The sequence below is a fragment of the Homo sapiens genome, chromosome 2 (assembly GCF_000001405.40).
Source record: "Homo sapiens chromosome 2, GRCh38.p14 Primary Assembly".
Lineage (NCBI taxonomy): Eukaryota > Metazoa > Chordata > Mammalia > Primates > Hominidae > Homo > Homo sapiens.
In genome coordinates, this window is record NC_000002.12 from 190,142,309 (window position 1) to 190,164,785 (window position 22,477).

The 22,477-nt window shown below is 37.1% G+C and overlaps 1 protein-coding gene across 5 annotated transcripts in view; it reads left to right on the forward strand.

Moving 5' to 3' along the window:
* AKAP19 (A-kinase anchoring protein 19) overlaps window positions 1-22,477 on the forward strand; it is a 323,923-nt gene that overhangs the window by 262,747 nt on the left and 38,699 nt on the right. For 4 of the 5 annotated variants that reach the window (XM_047446008.1, XM_047446009.1, XM_011511983.2 and 1 more), the window contains one exon: window positions 21,628-21,752. The gene's annotated coding sequence lies outside the window, so the exon portion shown is untranslated. Of the gene's footprint in view, window positions 1-7,937; window positions 8,141-21,627; window positions 21,753-22,477 lie in introns of those variants that run through there. The other variant, NM_001042520.2, reaches the window with a different exon arrangement.

A 22,477-nucleotide genomic window follows, 5' to 3' on the forward strand; every position in this document is an offset into this window, starting at 1 on the left:
TAAAGGTATAATATCATTTATGCAATTAAAAGATCTCTGAGGACAGTGCTTGGAACACATTACTTACTTGGTAAATGAAGTTATATTCACATGGGCCTTGCTCTCCAATATTTATGAGGTATAATGTATCTGGGTCACAGTTTTGCTCTCTACCCCAAACTCTTGCCACCACTCTTTGATTAGCTCAGCCAGTGTTCCCACTTCAGAACTCCTTGACATCCACAATTCCAAGGGGCCACTCTTTGGAGCTTCTCTGGACCAGAGGCTTCCCTATCTGTGAAATCTTATATGCCAGTAAACTTCTAGGCCTCCACAGTGGTAAGAAATGAGGATGAAAAGAAAGCCAAGTTGTGAAGGGTTGCTTTGAGGCTAACAAACTGGTACTTTTGATACCAGCGGGCTGGGGGAGGTCCCCAAATGCTGGTGGGACCTTGACTGCAGCCACTGTGCAGGCTCTTGATACCATCGCAAGAGTGAATTCAAGGACAAGTCAGAAAATAGTGAAGGTTACAGAGATTAATTGCAAAGGGAAAAGTACACCCTCAATAAAAGGCAGTGTGGGTGTCCTCAAGAGAGTCACCCACAAGGGGGTTTGGGGCTGCTACCTTTATGGGTTTCCTTAACCAAGGGGTGGAATATTCATGAAAATTCCTGGAAACAGGTGCAGATTTCTGAGAACTGCAGTACTACCCATTTTTATACTAAATATGGATGTTCTTGGAACTGTCATGGCACTGGGGGGCGGGGGTGTGTGATTTAGTATGTTAATGACCATATAATAAGGTCCTATTTGTGAAACCTAGGTAAAATCCAGTGCCATTTTGGGTCCAGTCAGTCTTAGCCAGCTTGGTCCACACCTTGTTTTTCAGGGTTTTATCAGCCCATAGTCTCTAGTCATGTGTAACTGCTGCCTGGAGTTTTTTTTAATTCTCTTGCAACCACCCTGTATTATTCCTGTCAAACTTTATCCTGTAGGAAAAAAAAAAAAAAAAAGCAACACTGAACTTTATAGTTCCCTAAATACCATGGAACATGCCGTTCCCTGTGCTTGAAATGTCCCCTCTTTCCAGGATCACCTTCAAGCTCCTAGTCATCCTGTAGATCTAGCTTGGCTCTCATCACTTCTAGGAAGCCTTCCTTGGCAAATGAAAGTAGTTAATCACATTACACCTTGTGTATAGCTCTTGGTGTTCTTGTGCCTTATCATCATATGTTTATGTTTTTGGCTCCCTGATTTGAACTCTTTGAAAGCGAGAACTTCTATCCATATTATTGTGTTCTCAGTGTCTGACCTAAAGGATTTCTTCAAGAGTTTTTGAGTTCTCCTAGAAATACCATTTGACCCAGCCATCCCATTACTGGGTATATACCCAAAGGACTATAAATCATGCTGCTATAAAGACACATGCACATGTATGTTTATTGCGGCATTATTCACAATAGCAAAGACTTGGAACCAAGCCAAATGTCCAACAATGATAGACTGGATTAAGAAAATGTGGCACATATACACCATGGAATACTATGCAGCCATAAAAAATGATGAGTTCATGTCCTTTGTAGGGACATGGATGAAATTGGAAATCATCATTCTCAGTAAACTATCGCAAGAACAAAAAACCAAACACCGCATATTCTCACTCATAGGTGGGAACTGAACAATGAGATCACATGGACACAGGAAGGGGAATATCACACTCTGGGGACTGTGGTGGGGTGGGGGGAGGGGGGAGGGATAGTATTGGGAGATATACCTAATGGTGGATGACGAGTTAGTGGGTGCAGCACACCAGCATGGCACATGTATACATATGTAACTAACCTGCACAATGTGCACATGTACCCTAAAACTTAAAGTATAATAAAAGAAAAGAAAAGAAAAAAAATATTAATAAAATTATAACTTAATAAAAAAACAATTAACAAAAAGGCTCTAACAGAAAAAAAAAAAAGAGTTTTTGAGTTCTCAAGTCCCACTAAAAAGAAAGTACCCTAATAAAAAGTTGGCAAATTGGCTGTAAACAATTGGCAATTTCTCTGTATCATAATCTAAACCACGTTACTTTGCTGAAGTTTATTCAGATATCTTTGCTCTAAAACTTGGCACCAAATTCTAAGAAAATATTCTATTTTATTCATTTTAATTATTTGATTCAAATATAAAAATATGTTAAAAAACACATAGAAATCTCATTCCTCTATTTGCATTTCCACCCTTTTCTCTCTAGTTGCTATAGTTTAACGTTTGTATTCATGTATTTTTTATCCTCCCAGTATTTCTTTATGCAAATATAAATGCATCCTTTTCCCTCCTGTCTCATAAAAGTAGTCTAGAATACACACTGTTTTATTCCTTGCTTTTGTTTTAACATAAAAATTTATTCTGGGCCGGGCATGGTGGCTCACGCCTGTAATCCCAGAACTTTGGGAGGGTGAGGTGGGCAGATCACCTGAGGTCAGGAGTTCGAGACCAGCCTGACTAACATGGTAAAACCTCATCTCTATTAAAAATACAAAAATTAGCCAGGCACGGTGGCACACCCCTGTAATCCCAGCTACTTGGGAGGCTGAGGCAGGAGAATCACTTGAACCCGGGAGGTGGAGGTTGCAGTGAGCTGATATCACTGCATTGCACTCCACTCCTGGACAACAAGAGTGAAACTGTCTCAAAAAAAAAATTATTCTGGAAAGGCCAGGCATGGTGGGTCACATCTGCAATCCATCCCAGCACTTTGAGAGGCTAAGATGGGAGAATTGCTTGAGCCCAGGAGTTCAAGACCAGCCTGGGCAATATAGTGAGACTTCATCTCTACAAAAAAAGTTTAAAAATTAGCCAGACGTGGTAGCCCACGTCTGTAGTCCCAGCTACTCAGGAGGCTGACATGGAAGAATCACTTGAGCCCAGGACATGCAGGTTGCAGTAAGCAGAGATCACATGACAGAGTGAGACCTTGTTCCAGAGATGTTTCCAAGTCAGTAGTAGATAGAACTCTTCCTTTTTCTTTTTTGCAGATGCATAGTTTTCTATTGTATAGATACACTGTGATTTATTCAACCAGTTCCCTACTGCTGGATACTTGTGTTCTAATTTTTTGCTTTATGAACAAAAAAATTGCAGTTGATTTTACAACTATCATATTAGCACAGATAATATCTATATAATATACAGTCATGCACTGCATAATAATGTTTTGGTCAATGACCGACTGCATATACTATGGCCATCCCATAAGATTATAATACCATATTTTTACTGTACCTTTTCTGTGTTTAGGTACACAATTACTTAGTGTTATAATTGCCTGTGGTATTCAGTACAGTCACATGTGGTACAGGTTTGTAGCCTAGGAGCAATAGGCTATATCTTACTGCCTGAGTTTCTAACTAGGTTTGTGTAGATACACTCTGTGAGTTCACACAATGACTGAATCTCCTAATAATACATTTCTCAGAACGAATTTCTGTTATTAAGCAACTCATGATTCTCTCTCTGTATATATAGTGGGTGTAATATATATATGTATATGTATGTGTGTATATATAAAAAGAAATATATATATAACTATATATATATATATAAAGAGATTCCTAGAAATAAATCAAAGGTAAATGCATCTGAAATTTTAGTATATATTTCCAGAAACCTCTTCCTGATGGTTATTCCATTTTTCTTTTTTTTTTTACATTTTTATTTTTATTTTTTATTTTTCCATAAGTTATTGGGGTACAGCTGGTATTTGGTTACATGAATAAGTTCTTTAGTGGTGATTTGTAAGATTTTGGTGCACCCATCACCCGAGCAGTATACACTGTACCGTATTTGTAGTCTTTTATCCCTCACCACCCTCCCAATCTTCCCCCAGGTCCCCAAAGTCCATTGTATCATTCTTATGCCTTTGCATCCTCATAGCTTAGCTCCCAAATGATATTTGGTTTTCCATAACTGAGTTACTTCACTTAGAATAATAGTCTCCAATCTTATCCAGGTCACTGCAAATGCTGTTAATTCATTCCTTTTCATGACTGCATAGTATTCCGTCATTTATATATATCACAGTTTCTTTATCCACTCGTTGATTGATGGCATTTGGGTTGGTTTTGCTATTGCGAATTGTGCCAATTTTGCTATTGTGAATTGTGCCGCTATAAACATGCATGTGCAAGTATCTTTTTTGAATTATGACTTATTTTCCTCTGGGTAGATACCCAGTAATGGGATTGCTGGATCAAATGGTAGTTCTACTTTTAGTTCTTTAAGGAATCTCCACACTCTTTTCCATAGCAGCTGTACTAGTTTACATTCCCATCAGCAATGTAGAATTGTTCCCTTTTCACCGCATCCATGCAAGCATCCACTGTTTTCTGATTTTTTGATTATGTTCATTCTTGCAGGAGTAAGGTGGTATTGCATTATGGTTTTGATTTGCATTTCCCTGATTATTAGTGATGTTGAACATTTTTTCATGTTTGTTGGCCATTTGTATATCTTCTTTTGAGAATTGTCTTTTCATGTCCTTAGCCCACTTATTGATGGGATTGTTTATTTTTTTCTTACTGATTTGTTTGAGTTTATTATAGATTCTGAATATTAGTCCTTTGTCAGATGTATAGATTGTGAAGATTTTCTCCCACTTTGTGGGTTCTCTGTTTACTCTGCTGACTGTTCATTTTGGCGTGCAAAAGCTCTTTAGTTTAATTAGGTCCCAGCTGTTTATCTTTGTTTTTATTGCATTTGCTTTTGGGTTCTTGGTCATGAAATCCTTGCCTAAGCCAATGTCTAGAAGGGTTTTTCCAATGTTATCTTCTAGAATTTTTATAGTTTCAGGTCTTAGTTTAAGTCCTTAATCCATCTTGAGTTGATTTGTGTATAAGGTGAGAGATGACAATCCAGTTTCATTATCCTACATGTGGCTTGCCAATTATCCTAGCACCATTTGTTGAAAAGGGTGTCCTTTCCCTACTTTATGTTTTTGTTTGCTTTGTCAAAGATCAGTTGGCTGTAAGTGTTTTGGTTTATTTCTGGATTCTCTATTCTGTTCCGTTGGTCTATGTGCCTATTTTTATACCAGTACCATGCTGTTTTGGTTGACTATGGCCTTATAGTATAGTTTGAAATCAGGTAGTGTGATGCCTCATTTGTTCTTTTTGCTTAGTCTTGCTTTGGCTATGCGGGCTCTTTTTTGGTTCCATGTGAATTTTAGAATTGTTTTTTCTAACTATGTGAAGAACGATGGTGGTATTTTGGTGGGGATTGTGTTAAATTTGTAGATTGCTTTTGGCAGTATGGACATTTTCACAATATTGATTCTATGCATTCATGAGCATGGGATGTGTTTCCATTTGTTTTTGTTGTCTGTGATTTCTATCAGCAGAGTTTTGTAGTTCTCCTTGTAGAGGTCTTTCAATTCCTTGGTTAGGTATATTTCTAAGGTTTTTTTTTTGTTGTTGTTGTTGTTGGAGCTATTGTAAAAGGGGTTGAGTTCTTGATTTGATTCTCTGCTTGGTTGCTGTTGGCGTATAGAAGAGCTACTGATTTGTGTACATTCATCTTGTATCTGGAAACTTTGCTGAATTATTTTTGTTCTAGGAGCTTTCTGGAGGAGTCCTTAGGGTTTTCAAGGTAAACGATCATATCATCAGCAAACAGTGACAGTTTGACTTCCTCTTTACCAACGTGGATGCCCTTTATTTCTTTCTCTTGTCTGATTGCTCTGGCTAGGACTTCCAGTACTGTGTTGAAGACGAGTGGTGAGGGTGGGCATCCTTGTCTTCTTCCAGTTCTCAGAGGTAATGCTTTCAACTTTTCCCCATTCAGTATTATGTTGGCTGTGGCTTTGTCATAGATGGCTTTTATTACACTGAGGATGTCCCTTGTTTGCTGATTTTGTTGAAAGTTTTAATCATAAATTGATGCTGGATTTTGTCAAATGCTTTTTCTGCATCTATTGAGATGATCATATGATTTTTGTTTTCAATTCTGTTTATGTGGTGAATGACACTTATTGATTCACATATGTTAAACCATTCCTGCATCCCTGGTATGAAACCCAATTGATTATGGTGGATTATCTTTTTGATATGTTGCTGGATTCAGTTAGCTAGTATTTTGCTAAGGATTTTAGCATCAATGTTCATCAAGGATATCAGTCTGTAGTTTTCTTTTTTGGTTATGTCCTTTCCTGGTTTTGGTATTAGGGTGATGTTGGCTTCATAAAATGAATTAGGGAGGGTTCCTTCTTTCTCTATCTTGTGGAATAGTGTCAAAAGGATTGGGACCAATTCTCCTTTGAATGTCTGGTAGAATTCTGCTGTGAATCCCTCTGGTCCTGGACGATTTTTGTTGGTAATTTTTAAATTACCATTTTAATCTTGCTGCTTGTTATTGGTCTGTTCAGGGTATCTAATTCTTCCTGATTTAAGCTAGGAGGATTGTATTTTTCCAGGAACTTACCCATCTCTTCTAAGTTTTCTAGTTTATGTGTGTAAAGGTGTTCATAAAGTAGCCTTGAATTATCTTTTGTATTTCAGTGGTGCCAGTTGTAATATCTCCTGTTTCGTTTCTTAGTGAGGTTATTTAGATTTTCCCTCTTCTTTTCTTGGTTAATTTTGCTAATGGTCTATCAATTTTATCTTTTCTTTTCTTTCTTTTTTTTTTTTTTTTTTTTTTTTTTTGAGATAGAGTTTCACTCTTCTTGCCCAGGCTGGAGTGCAATGGCACGATCTCGGCTCACTGCAACCTCTGCCTCTCAGGTTCAAGCGATTCTCCTGCCTCAGCCTCCTGAGTAGCTGGGATTACAGGCATGTGCCACCACACCTGGCTAATTTTGTATTTTTAGTAGAGATGGGGTTTCACCATGTTGGTCAGGCTGGTCTTGAACTCCCAACCTCAGGTGATCCACCTGCCTCAGCCTCCCAAAGTGCTGGGATTACAGGCAAGAGCCACTACGCCCATTATTTTTCAAAGAACCAGCTTTTTTTTTCATTTATCTTTTGTATTTTTTTGTTTCAATTTCACTTAGTTCTCTGATCTTGGTAATTTCCTTTCTTCTGCTGGGTTTGGGTTTGGTTTGTTCTTGTTTCTCTAGTTCGTGGAGGTGTGACCTTAGAATGTGAGTTTGTGCTCTTTCAGCGTTTTTGATGTCGGTGCTTAGGGCTATGAACTTTCCTCTTAGCACCACCTTTGCTGTATCCCAAGGTTTAGATAGGTTGTGTCATTATTGTCATTCAGTTCAAAGAATTTTAAATTTCCATCTTTATTTTGTTTTTGACCCACTGCTCATTCAGGAGCAAGTTATTTAATTTCCATATATTTGCATGGTTCTGAAGGTTCCTTTTGGAGTTGATTTCCAGTTTTATTCCACTGTGGTCTCAGAGAGTGCTTGATATAATTTCAGTTTTCTTAAATTGATTGAGGTTTTATGGCCTATCATATGGTCTATCTTGGAGAAAGTTCCATGCACTGTTGAATAGAATGTATATTCTGCAGTTGTTGGATGAAGTGTTCTGTATATATCTGTTATGTCCATTTGTTCCAAGGTATATTTTAAATCCACTGTTTCTTTGTTGACTTTCTGTCTTGATGGCTGGTCTAGTGCTGTCAGTGGAGTATTGAAATCTCCCACTATTATTGTGTTGCTGCCTATCTCTAGGAGGATTATGGCTGTCTCTGCAGGTTGTCAGGGAAGTGGGGGAAAGCCGGCAGTCACAGGCCTCACCCAGCTCCCATGCAAACCGAAGGGCTGGTTTCACTCCCACTGTGCCCCCTGCAACAGCCCCCAATCCGTTTCCAGGCAGACAGCATGACAGGCTTGAAAACTTGCCCTGGGCTACCCACCTCCCAGCTGCAAAAGAAAAGAGCTTGGCTCTTCCCCCTCTGTGGAGTCTGCACACAGGATTTGCGCCCTCCCCCGAGTTCTGGCCAGGAGGCTTCTCACCCCATTCGAATTGTTACAAAGTTCAGCTAGAGATTTCCTTCTCCCTGTGGAGTTTCACTCCCTGCTCCTCTGGTCACCCTCCTGATGGATCTCTGTGGTGCCAGGCAGGAATGGCCTGCTAGGGGATGCAGCGAGATCCCAGGTCCTTTCTGCTGCTTCCTCTACCACTGTTTTTCACTCGGCTCTCCAAATTGACTCAGCTCCAGGTGAAGTCAGAAATTTCTCCCACAAACAGACCTTCAGCCTCTCCAGTGGGAGGTGTTTGGGAAAGGAGGGTCTCCCTTTCCCAATTCTGCAGTTGGGGGACTTACAGTATTTGGGTCCTGGGTCCTGCAGGAGCAGTCCACTTCCTTCAGAGGGTGTGTGGGCCCTCTCAGGATTGCTGGTTTGTTCTTGCAGTCAGTATGGAGCTAAAATTCAAATGCGAGCTTCTGCAAACTGCTCTGTCCGGAGCTGCAATCTAGTCCTTTGGACAAAGTATGATCTCTGTCCTCCCAAGAGGAGATCCTCCCATGATCTCCTGCTTTTTTTTTTTTTTCATTATTCCTTTTTTCTACTCCCACCAGCAATATTTGAAAGCGTTTGTTTCCCCATAGCCTCTCCAATAATGTACTATAGGAGTTTTGGATTTTGCCAGATAGTTGAGGAATTCTATCTCAGTGTAATATTAATTTGTATTTTTATTGGTGAAGTTTAGCATCATCTCATTTTTTTAGTGGATATTTGTATTTTTTCTGTGAACTATTCATTCATATTCTTTGCTTACTTGTCTATAAAATTGGCCTTTTCATTCACTATTTCTAGAAGTTTTTATATAAGAATACTTATAAGCACTCAGTTTGTGCTATGAATTGCAAATGTCTTTCCTATTTGTCATTTCTGTTTTGATTTTGCTAATGGGATATTTTTGACATACATAAATGTTTGGTTGATTTGTGTTTACATTTGACTATTATGCTATCCAGATTTTTTTTAAATTTTAAGTTCTAGGATACATGTGCGGAACGTGCAGATTTGTTACATAGGAAAACGTGTGCTATGGTGGTTTGCTGCACCTACCAACCCATCATTTAGGTGTTAAGCTCCGCATGCGTTAGCTATTTATCCTGATGCTCTCCCTTTCCCCATCCCCCCATGACAGGCCACAGTGTTGTTCCCCTCCCTGTGACCATGTGTTTTCATTGTTCAGCTTCTATCTGTAAGCAAGAATAAGCAGTATTTGGTTTTCTGTTCCTGTGTTAGTTTGCTGAGGATAATGGATTCCAGCTCCAACCATTTCCCTGCAAAGGACATGCTCTAGTTCCTTTTTATGGCTGCATAGTATTCCATGGTGTATATGTACCACATTTTCTTTATCCAGTCTATCATTGGTGGGCATTTGGGTTGATCCCATGTCTTTGCTATTGTGAATAGTGCTGCAATGAACAAACCAAGCAACTATCCAGACTTTGATTTATAGTTAGAAAGGTCTTGGCCAGGCCGGGCATAGTGGCTCACGCCTGTAATCCCAGTACTTTGAGAGGCCAAGGCAGTCAGATCACTTGAGGCCAGGAGTTCAAGACCAGCCTGGCCAACATAGTGACATCTTATCTCTACTAAAAATATAAAAAATAAGCTAGGCATGGTGGCAGGCGCCTGTAATCCCAGCTACTTGGGAGGCTGAGGCACAAGAATTGCTTTAATCTGGGAGGCGGAGGTTGCAGTGAGCTGGGATTGTGCCACTGCACTCCAGAGCGAGACTCTGTCTCAATTAAAAAAACAAAAAACAACAACAAAAAAAAAAAACAAAGAGAGGTCTTGGCCAGGCTCCATGGCTCACTCCTCTAATTCCAGTGCTTTGAGGGGCTAAAGTGGGAGGATCGCTGGAGGTCAGGAGTTTGAGACCAGCCTGGGCAACAGAATGAGACTCCATCACTACAAAAAATTAAAAAATATTTTTAATTTAAGCAAGAAAGGTCTTCCCATGATTCTAATAAATATCACCTATGTTGTTTTCTAATACTTTTATCATTTCATTTCTTTACATTCAAATTGTTGCTCCATTTGGGCCTATTTCTGTATCCCCATAACATAGCATGAGTACAGAACTGGCTTTCTTTTCTTTCAACTTGCCACTCCATTTCCCCAACACTATTTATTTATTTAAAAGTCCATCTTAACTTTGATTTGGCATGCAGTCTTCATTGTGCACTAAATCCCCATGTGCATTCAAGTCTTTCTCTGGACTTTTTCTACTCTGTTTCATTAGTCTGTCTTTTCATAAGCCAATCCTACATTCTTAATTATTGATGCATTATAGTATGTTTAAACCCCTAATAAGAATAGCACTTTTATTGCTTTTATTTATCAGAATTTCATAGGCTATTTTTTGTTCACTTTTTCCCCCATAGGAATTTTATAATTGGTTTGTCTAGTTCCAGGAAAGAAAATCTGTATTTTTTGTTATTATTGTTCCTTAGTAACTTATCAATGTAATACAACTGCTTTATGATAATGAGTCTTTCTGTTAAAGAACACAGTCTTTACATTTGTCTAAGTTAACTTTTATATCCTTTTTATTAGAAAGTTTCTCCTCTAGGTTCTGAACATTTCTTAAATAATTCTTAATACTTTGTCACTTGTTATTATCGATGTGGGATTTACTCGCCCATTCTTTCTTTTTTTTTTTTTTGAGACGAAGTCTCACTCTGTCGCCTAGGCTGGAGTGCAGTGGCGTGATTTCAGCTTACTGCAAGCTCCGCCTCCCGGGTTCACGCCATTCTCCTGCCTCGGCCTCCTGAGTAGCTGGGACTACAGGTGTCCACCACGACGCCCGGCTAATTTTTTGTAATTTTAGTAGAAACGGGGTTTCACCGTGTTAGCTAGGATGGTCTCGATCTTCTGACCTTGTGATCTGCCCACCTCGGCCTCCCAAAGTGCTGGGATTACAGGCATGAGCCACCGTGCCCGGCCACTTGCCCATTATTTCTAAGTCATTGTTTACATATATGAAGACTATTAATTTCTATGTATTAATAATTTTATATCCTGCTACTTTGCTGAATTTTCTTATAATCATTTTCATTTGGTATCTGTTGGATTTTTCAGGTATACAATCATACCATCTGAAAATATAGAAATATATTTTTTCCCAATTTTTATACCTCTAATTTTCTATGGTATTGGAGGTACAGCCAATCAATTAGACAATGTTAACTAGTAGTGGTGATTTTGGGCATCTTTGTCTAGTTCCAGACTTTAGGAAGAATATCTTCAGTGTTTCTCCACTAGGAAATGGGCTAGCCTTAAAGTTAAGATAAAATATGTATAATAGTATAATGTTTTCATCAATTCTTATTTTGAGTGCTTTTTAAAAAATCAAGAATAGTTTTGGTTTTTATTAAATTCCTTTTAGCAACTATAAATATAAAAATAATTTTCCATCATAAATTTATTAATATGGTAAATTACATTAATATATTTTGTATTATTGAGTTATTCTTGCATTCTTACATAAGCATTGAGAAGGAATCTCACTTGATCATGGTATATTCTCTTAATGTGCTAATTTGTTAATATTTTAGTAAGTCTTCTCAATTGACATTCATAACTAAAGTTGATAATTCTTTTTTGCAGTCTATAAGGCTTTAGTATCATCAATGTTATAACTTATAGTCTGGAATTTTTCATTTTTCTAAAATTGGAACAGTTCAAATAGCATTACCTACTCTCTAAAGATTCCTCTGTGAGACGAGATGGGTACATTTGGGGGTTGAGGAGATATTTGCAACATATGTAAGCAATAATTAAGCTATTTTGCAACCTCTTCTTTAGGATTTCCCTCTATTTCAACACGAAATTTCAGTATTATCTTACAGCATTTAACCTTGATATTTTTAATTGTGCTTATGCTTCTATAATCTACTAATTTCTATGGTAATTGACCCCTGTGGAATTTCTGAGTCTGCTGGGGTGACTTTTGAATGATTTAGTTTTCCTGGAAAAATCATTTGTTTCATCTTCCGAGTTTTCAAATTTATTTGCACAGAGTTGTGCAAAGCAGCTTCATAATCCCTTTTGTTTCTGTTATTCTTTTCATTTCATATTTTTTAATCATTTGCTGTATTTTAGTTTGGAAAGTGAATTAATCTGTCTTATTTTTAGTGTATTTCTGTTTCTCCTTGTATATTCTATAGCTTTGACTTCATGCAAGTAATTGCTAAGCTGTTTGGTACACAGATATTCATAACTAATCTTCCTTGTGAATTCTCATACTTAGCATTTTTTAAAAGTCTTTATAAATCGCTTTTGGGTGTGAGTTCTATATTTACTGATTAAAATCACTGCCTGTGCTTTATTTTAGTTCATATTTGCTCATACTGTTATCTTAATTGAGTTGCATTGTCTTAGAAGTGTCTCTTGTATACAAGACAGGGCTACATTTTGCTTTATGATAGAAGTATATGACTTATTTCATGCACACAAACCCCAAAATTCACATCTAACTATGTTCCACTGGCCAAAGCAAGTTACCTGGCAGTCTAGATTCAAAGAGGAGAAATAAACTTCACTCTTAGGGAGAAGTTACACAATACTGTGGCCATTTGGGTAGGGAACAGACCTACTGCAGGCTGTGAGGTGGACTGCCTGTGTAAGAGCTAACTGGGGAGTGTAGAAGAGATCTGTGTTTGGAGGCAGGTCTCCTACTTGAGTGAAATGTGCAGTTGGCAGACACTCCCACCGCTTTTCTAAGGCTTACTTAAGAACCATACATGCACTGGAAGAGAAAGCCAGCATTTGAACTTGTGCTCCTCAGAGTACATGGATGGCTATTCAGTGTTAGCCACAGAAGCAGGGACAGCCAACATAGAGGGCTCCAACTTTCTCCAGTCAAGGAGGGGGACATTTTCTCTCCCCCCTTCCCCTCTTTTGCCCCAATTACAGAAGAGCTACAACAGAGAGAGTAAGGAGGTATCTGGGAACCAGACCCTTGCCCTTCATTCTCACTCTAAGCTGATAGAACCACAGCTTTTGCCTAAGTTAAGGGAGGGTAGGAGAAGAACTAACAACAGAATAAAGTATTTCTGATGGTTGAAAATGGCTGAATGGCTACAGAATCTGGCCAAGATATCATTAAAGGAGCCTCTCCACAGGAAGAAAGAATTTAATAAAGTGCAAAGTATAGACAAGAAAAAGAAAATAGGAAGCAGAGGTGGTAGGTGAAAAAAAGAAGGGGGCAAAATTAATACAATATAATGAATAGAATAACTATTAGATTAGACTAGAAGAGGGTAAGGTCCTAGAGGAAGCTGAATGGGGTGGGATCAATGCAGCCTGGACTTGACCAGGAGGAAACAAACTTCATCTTTTAAGACTGGAGGAAAAGGTACTAAGAACTGATATGAACAGGTGATTGTGCAGACAGGAGTCTGGAAAGCTAATAACTTCAATTTTTTTAATGAAGTAGGAAGTAAGAATGTCTAGTGAGAAAGAGAGTAGCTTGAACAATGAGGAGCTTTAGAATAGTCATTGGAATACTAAGGTTGAAATTAATCAAAGGTGGATAGATTAAAAATATTTTTCTCTGTGCTAGCAACAAGCTATAAAAGAGGAAAAAAATTTTAAAGGACCTCCTGAAAAATAATAGAATGATACATAAGGACATTAAATAATAAATTTTTAGGTATACTTAGTATAAAAACATGAATGCTCCCCCAAATCAAGTAAATGTAATACAATTCTAATTTAAATTTGCCTAGGGTTTTGGGGAATTGGATAAAGTGATCTTAAAGGCTATATGGAATAATTAATGTAAAAAGGAAAACTGGTGAGGAGTGACCTGCCTCACTAGATTGGAGCATATCGTGACCTCCTTATAGGCTTTGGTTTTGGCTTAAAAAAAGATAAGTCAGAAGAATAGAATAGAGGGCTCAGAAGTAGACCCAGTACATGTGGATATTTGATATTTAATAAAAATGGTATTTCAGTTAAAAGGAGAAAAGATAGGTTATTTTTAAAATAGTGCTGATCCAACATCCTATTAATCTGGAAAAAAAGTATTAATATATTGAGATAAGTTCCAGATTGATTAAAGAAAAATGAAATAATAGATTTTATATACATACAAACATCCTTCAAATTGTTGATTAACCAAGATAGGACCTAGAAGTTATAAAGGACAAGACACACATAATTTCCAAATCTGTGTGACAGACGATTAAATTTAAATCAAAAGAAAATGAATGCTATGCTTTATTGAAAAAATTTTAAAAAGGGAATGATAAATTAGGGGAAATTATTTATTTGAAACACATGATAGAGAAGATTTGGACTATACTAAAGTGCTTACAAATGAATAAAACATAAATAACCAAAAAGAAACAACGGGCAAATTAGATTTGCAGAAAAGGGAATCCAAATGGCCAATAAACATGAAATCATGCGCAGCCTTGCTGGGAGTGAGGGAAATGCAAATAAAATAACAACAATATATCATGTCATAGCCATTAGACTAGCAAAAATTGACAGTGAAAATTGCTGCTGAAAAGGTTTGGGGAGAAGAGTACTCTCATATATGTGGAAATGTTCATTGTTTCAGTCTTTCAAAAATGTAATCTGGTATTATCCATTGTAATTAAAAATACATTTACCTATCCCATCATAGGAATCTATCCCATGGAAATAAAATCACTACTAGGTAAGGCATACACACATTTATGTTTATTGCATCATTGTTTGTACTAATGGAAGACTGGAGACAGAGTGAGTGCCCCTCAGTAGACAAATGGCTCAATATACTGTATTACAGCATACTCATATCATTAGTATCATACAACCATTAAAAGAAATCAATTCGGTTCTTATTAAGGACTTCCCTTGAGCTAGGCCCTCTTTTGATCCTCACCACAACCTTATGTGGTAGGTGGTAATAATTTTACAGGGTAGGAAACTGAAGCACAGAGAGTTTTTAAAAACGTACCCAAGGCCTCACAGAACTACATTCAAAATCTCTCTATTTTCTCTTTATGCCAGTAGATTTGGAGACATTTTGAAATATATTGTTCATCAGTATGAAAATCTTAATACAGAGAAGTATATAAAATAAGATCACAGTATTATAAAACAAATGACTCCCTAAACTTGTATACACACACACACACACACACACACACATATCACAGGATGCTATATATCTAGAATAGGTTTCTACTCCAGAAAAGAAGGTTAAATATTAGGTTGTTAACATTTTAACTTTTGGAAGAACTACATTTACTATTCATGGTAAAAAAATTATGGATATAATTTCATAAAGCTATGTATAAAGGAATGAACACCTTTCATGATTATCTGATGGGGGATAGATTTTATATGATTTTTATTTTTACCTTTGTTTTTAATTACTTAACTATTTTTTTAAATGAGCACAGATAATTGAGGGAAGGGGAGACTATATCCATTGTGGGAAAAATTTACATTAATGGAGACATAATAATGACAATCTTATAAATTCGCCTCAAGACTATGTCTCACATGTCTCTAGAACTCAAAACAAATTAATGCTAACAAGAAAAGGTTTAGTTATTACATATAAGACTTAAAATGTAATGCTCCAAACATCAGGTCTTGAAAGTGAGGGAAGAGAGAGACCCTCTCATATTGTTTTATACTCAGTACCTGTTTTAAGAAAAAAACAAGGAAGTGAAATCAAAGACAGGCAGCCCGGCGCCAGGCCCAAAATCAGACCTGGGCCTGCCTGGCCTAAACCTAGTAGTTAAAAATCAACTCATGGCTTAGAAACCGATGTTATTCATAGATTCCAGGTATTGTATAGAAGAACATTGTGAAACTCCCTGCCCAGTTCTGTTTCTCTATGACCACTGGTGCATGCAGCCCCTGTCACGTACCCCTTGCTTGCTCAAATCAATCACGACCCTTTCATGTAAAATCTTTAGTGTTGTGAGCCCTTAAAGGGGACAGAAATTGTGCACTCGGGGAGCTCGGATTTTAAGGCAGTAGCTTGCCAATGCTCCCAGCTGAATAAAGCCCTTCCTTATACAACTCAGTGTCTGAGAGGTTTTGTCTGCGGCTTGTCCTGCTACAAAAGCAGGGTGTTTTTAGCAGAAGTAAAATTCAGTCTATATTTCAGTGTATGCAGACCTCTCAAGCAAGCAGTTTCATTTAAAAAATTGGTGACGTATTTCTCACATTAACAAATTTGAAGTAAATTTAACAGTGTGTTTCACCTATTGAATAGGAAATGGTAAGAATTTATATATAGATTCTATGTAAATATTTATATACTTTAAATGAATTTTGCCATAAACAAGCTGTACTTACATTACTTTTAATGATATTGATTAAATTGTAAATTCCTGAGGGGATTCATAGTATCACGTTATCATTTAAGAGATTTTTTTCTTTTTTGATTCTGTTCTCCCTGGCTATCATCATCTTGGCATTATGCAGACTTTGTGGTGCAGAGAAATAGTGGACCCAGGTCCCAAAGTTCTCCCTGAATGGCAGAGCATGCATAAGAGGCAGATCTAAAAGTGATGAGGCAGAACAGATATGATCACAGGGCAGAAGCCTCACAGAAGCAGGGGAAACATCCCTGTTTGGAGTTGGGAGTGGGCAGGAGAATTTCTGTTGCTATCCATTTGGAGAGAAGGCTGCAGGAGAAGGGCTATCCTCAGGGGAGGCCCAGGATTCCTGTAGGGCCTGGAGGTGAAGAGACTTCTAAGACAGGATGAGGATGCAGGAAGTTGATTAGCAAGGGATTAGGATTCCAAAGGCTGCAGTGGAAGGGGCTGTGATGCAGGATAATTGTGGGAGTCACCAAAGCTGAGAAAATGCAGAAGGGCGTAGGGAACTAGACAAGGTAGGAGGTCTGAGCTGGGATTAGGCACTTGCCTTTCTCCCTGTAAAGGAAAGTTATGATTAGTAGCGACTGGCCTCCACCCAACTAGGTACAAATTATATTGGTGCCATAACTGCCTAAGGGTCCCAGGCACTTGGACCTGCCTCCAGTATTTGTTATATGGGCATGGTGACAGTGGTGGAGCAGAAGGGCAAAGTCCCCCAGGAGGCTCACTTGAGTTCTGGGTTGATGAGTACTGTTGTGCTGAGCCTTTGTATTCTCACCGTCTATATAATCACTTACAATGATTATTTTGTGAATATAAAACATCTACTCTCTGGTTATGAGTTAAACTCTTCAGACTCAATTTCTGGGGATTTTTGGTTTTCTTCCCTGAATTCAGGACATGCCCTACTTCAACTTGGGATGCGGACTGCTAGAGTGTTGTGGTTCTGTCATACTTGGCTGTGAGTGAGACTCATTTCTTTGAGCTCCCTTTGTTTTGTGAAGCTCAGTGTTCCAAGTTCTCTCGTCCCTAAGGTCCTTGGCTGATGACTGCTTCGTAACCACATTCTTCTAGCCAACATGATGTAAACTAACAGAGCTTGCCAGTAGCTCTGTGATCTCTGAGAGATCACTTTAAGAAAAAAGGCTGAATTCATTGACTCACAAAACCAGTCTTTTGGCATACATGGAAGCCAATGAAGAAAGTATGTGAAAAGACAAGTTGCAACAATCCATTCTTAAGAGCCATTGTTGGCCCTTTCTAAATTTCTGTTCTTTTAACTTTTGAAACTGCTGTCTTTGTATCTGAAAACATTAAGCTATTATGAACTAGAATTTGCCAATGCCAAATTGAAAGCAATTTTATGAGTTTAAAATGTCATTGCCAATAAAACGTTACCAAATACTTTCTTTTAGTATTTCAGTGTAGAGTTGAAACATTTCTTTAGATACAGGCAGGGGAAGTTCATTTTTGAAGATATAAGTTATGAGCATTTTAAGAGGGACAATCACGACCTAGCTGAGGTTTTCATGGATCTAGTTTTGATGTGACTTTCAATCTTAGGTTATTTTGATCTTTTCTTTCTATTTCTTAAATTAAGTTGCTTTGCAAACAACTACATATTTAATGGTCTCAGAATAGGTAAATAACATGGTCATTTTATGGGCTGCTATTGGACATTGTTCTAATATCCCCAAACTCTACTCCTATCTAATTTTCCTACCTGTCTGGATGGCACTAGGCTTAGAATAAGATTTTTTTTTTAACCATGGTCATAGTAATATTCGTCCATGTTTCTCTTTCGTGATCCCTACTTCAAAATGCCAAACCCAAATATTAGTCTCTTGGCCTTTTGTTTATTGTTCTTATGAAAATTGCATAGCTTATCTGTGCTAAAAGGGTAGACTTTAAAATTTATTTTCTCCCATGAGGTTTATAAAACATGACTAAATGAAACTCATGTTTTAGCTTTTGGAATGGGAAACAAATTGGAATATTGGGATATAATTCTTTCCCATTTAATGAAAGTATGACTAGACTTTTGACCTACACTGATTCAGGAAAGTGATATTAAGGCAAAATGTTTTAAGTAATTAGCTCTCTTTCTCAATTTGCGATTTTTTTTTAAAAAAGAAGAAACTTTGAAAAATTAAAGACAGATACTAAATATTAACTATAAAAGGATTTCAGTATGAGGGATAATAAATGTTTGAAAGATTCCAAGACAGATAAAGTATAAGAATTGCATGGATAAGTAACTTTTAATTCATAATATAAGTGACATTTTCTTATTTACATTTACGTGAAAGTCTAGTCATACTTGCTTTAAATGAAATCTAATCGAGTACTTACAGATGAAGAACGCTAAGTGTAACTTTATATTTGGTCTTAGATGATTCATTAGAAAATCCTTGATTTATAGATAAGCAAATTGTCTCTAAGAGACTGGAATATTTTTTAAAGCTCCCCAAATTTTTAGGGCCAAAACCAGAGTTTCAACATAGTTCTCTGGATTATTAGACATCATTAAATTAAACTTTTTTTTCTAAAATATACATAGTGGAAAGAGGCTTCCATGAATTGCAGTAAGGTCTTTGTGCTGGTGCTTGAAGAGAGACCTCATGCTAGGAAATTCTTGCCTCCAGAAATTACCAATATATCATTTCCTGCAGTGACATATTAATTTGTCACTTTATTTGCCTTAATCAGTCCTACATGGATGGTCCAGTAGGCCTGAACTCAGAATGTAGTTTATACCAGCTTTTAAAAGGCATTTCTTTACCCTATCAAGTAGCATACCTATTAATAGGCATCTAAAATCATACCAAATTTATTTTCCATAAACAGCACATCCCAGCTTCTCAGGCCCACATTCTAAACAAGTAGCAAGTAAGTAGACTCTAGGTATAACCATTCCATTATTTACTATTGTCATGTCATCTTATAGAGAGATCTCTTAGACTCAACACAAAATATCCTTCTTTTTTATTTTTGTTGACCTTTCGACAGCCTTTGACTCCTGGCTTAGAAATCAGTTATAAGACAAAATGCAGTAGCTCAGTATTGATCCCCCTGTTACAGACGCTTATGCAGAAGCAGGAACTGAGGAGTAGAAGTATTCTCTTGTTGGATCAGAAAATATTTGCCAGTTCATTAAATAGGAATGTGTTCTGGACTTACTTTTGGATAAACAAGTTGCATTCATTTTTTTTCCCTCTCAGCCACGAAAAAGAAAAGACCCATATTCAGATGATATGAGTTTATTATCTGGAACTAGGAGTGACTTAGAGACTACTGGTTCTATTCTCTAATCACTGCCAGACAAAAGAACATGGCTTCAGATCAACTATCCCAAAATCAAGGTGTTTATTTTTGGTAGACATTTCACCTAGTTTATAATTGACATCTCTATTAATCAAGTTTCCTCAAAGTAATTGTGACCTAGGATGCTCCTTTCTGGTGCAAAGGACATGACATTTAAATCCGGAGAATACCTCTGGATTAAGATGATTATGTGAGCAAACGTGTTTTCTTCTCATAATTTTACCCTTACCTTCTTTATGACTATCTAGTAGAGTAGAAGATTCATAAGCAAGATTAATTAGGATAGCTTATAGGAAATAGAGAAGTTATTATCTTTGTAAATATGAGTAATTTAAAAATTGTAATACAGTAATATTTTAAATTGCTTATACACATATTAATTTTATAACTTTCTGTTTAAGCAGAATATTCTTCTCCCCAGCCACTCTAGGTAATAGTAGTCTAAGTTGGGGAAAAACAGAGTTAAAATCTTTTGAAGGAAAACAAGGCCCAAAATAACGTTGAATATATACAAAAGAGAAGCTTGTAATTAAAAGTCAATGAAAATAAGCTTTGGAAAAAAAGTATAATTGCTAATAGTGCCACAAAAACAATACCATGCTTCTCACAAAAGAGAGAAGCAAATTCTACTGTAATCTCTGCTACTACATTTATGACTATTGAGGTAAGGCAATAAGGATTTATTTCTTTTGGGTTCTCCATCAGTAAAACTGAAATGATAATATTCCCATGTTTACTTAATAAAATACCAGGAAAATAGTAAGCTGCTTATTTAAGAGCCTTATTTAAGGTTTAACAATAATAAATACAATTCAAACTTAAGCTCCGATGGACATATCAGAGGATTCCTTTGGAGTTTTCTTATTTAAGACTTTGAGCACATGGAAGCAATTTTTTTTAGGAGATATTTTAATGAGAATATTTCTTGCCTGGAAAAAAAATGAAGGTAAATTTAAAGCTGAGAAATTATATATTTGTCTAGATATTTGAGAGTAAATCTATTTTTCATATTCCACCCAAAAGAAAAGAATAAAAGTTCTTATATAAGCAAATACTGTTAAAAAGCAAGTGGAGTGCATTATATTAAATATGAGTAAGCCTGTTTCAGGATTGACCTCGCCAGATTATTGGATCATCTTGATGTAAACATTATGCAACCGATGTGTTTCTTAACTTTATAGTTTTAGAAATTAGATTTTTATTAGGTCATCCAGGAGATATCAAGTCCTATAAAACTGAGTCTTGGCCGGGCGCGGTGGCTCACGCCTGTAATCCTAGCACTTTGGGAGGCCGAGACGGGCGGATCACGAGGTCAGGAGATCGAGACCATCTTGGCTAACACGGTGAAACCCCGTTTCTACTAAAAATACAAAAAATTAGCCGGGCGTGTTGGCGGGCGCCTGTAGTCCCAGCTACTTGGGAGGCTGAGGCAGGAGAATGGCATGAACCTGGGAGGCAGAGCTTGCAGTGAGCCGAGATCGCGCCACTGCACTCCAACCTGGGAGACACAGCGAGACTCCGTCTCAAAAAAACAAAAAACAAAAAACAAAAAAAAAAAAAACTGAGTCTTGCCCTGTGATTTACAAATCTGAGGTCTTAGCCTGAAATTCATAGTACTTCCTAAAATATTTATAACTTCCTTTAGTTTTCATCTATTTAACAGACATATCTTGAGTTCCCACTAATTACCAGGCACTCAACTAGGAATTGGAAATACTTAGAAGACATCATTTCTGCCATTTGAGTGAGGATACTAAATGCAAACAATTTATTATAATTATTTATTGTTATGGATACATACATAAAATGTAGTAGGAAGATAGGGGAAAGATCTAAATCAATGACTTAGTATAACTAGGCCCTTTGTTACGAGCTCAATGACCCATTTCCCCATTTTCCAGAAAGAATATGCATGAATTTTAACCAATAACATTATACTAAGTTCCATGTACTCATATGTTTGCATTGTATAAGTTTTTAAACCAGTTATTTTAGGATTAAGATTGCATCTATTAAATCTTTTTCAGCCTCCATTTAGAAAGGGAGCATGAGAAGCACTGAAAAGTAAGGCACTGTGATCTACACGGAAACCATATATTGGGCTCACAGCTACTGAATGAGACCGACTGGTGGAGACAGTTTAGTGAACCTGGTAACTTCAGGGTTTTCTTACTTTTAACTGTGAGACAGAATCGGTTAATTGGTGATTTATAGTGAAAAAATACATTTAAAAATTGTTTCATCTCCTTACAAGATATCTATTTGAAAAACTTAGTCCTGCAATTCAATAGGAAGAAAAGGCTTTATTACAGTATGATAAAAGTATGCCTGTTAAAGGCAAATCGGTCAGATGTGTTGGCTCATGCCTGTTATCCCAGCACTTTGAGAAGCTGAGGTGGGCGGATCACTTGAGCTCAGAAATTTGAGACCAGCCCGGGAAACATGGTGAAACCCTGTCTCTATTAAAAATACAAAAAATTAGGCATGCGTGGTGGCACTGTGGTCCCAGCTACTGGGGCGGCTGAGGTGGGAGGATTGCTTGAGCCGTGGGGTGGAGGTTGCAGTGAACTATGATTGCATCACTGTACTCCAGCCTGGGCAACAGAGCCAGACTCTGTCTCAAATAAATAAATAAGTAAGTTAATTAATTAAAGGCAAATAAAATTTATTTATAATTTATTTAGAATATTGGTACTTGAAAATAAATTTTTTTCAGTGATTCAATCTACCATAAATTTTTAATAATGCTTCAGTTAAGAATTATTTTATTTAGTCATTTTCAAATATATTTAATCTGATATTTTAGAGGAATGCTATTAGTTCTCAGATGGGCAGATTTTTGGAATATACAAAATATGGAAAAACTTTCATAGGCTA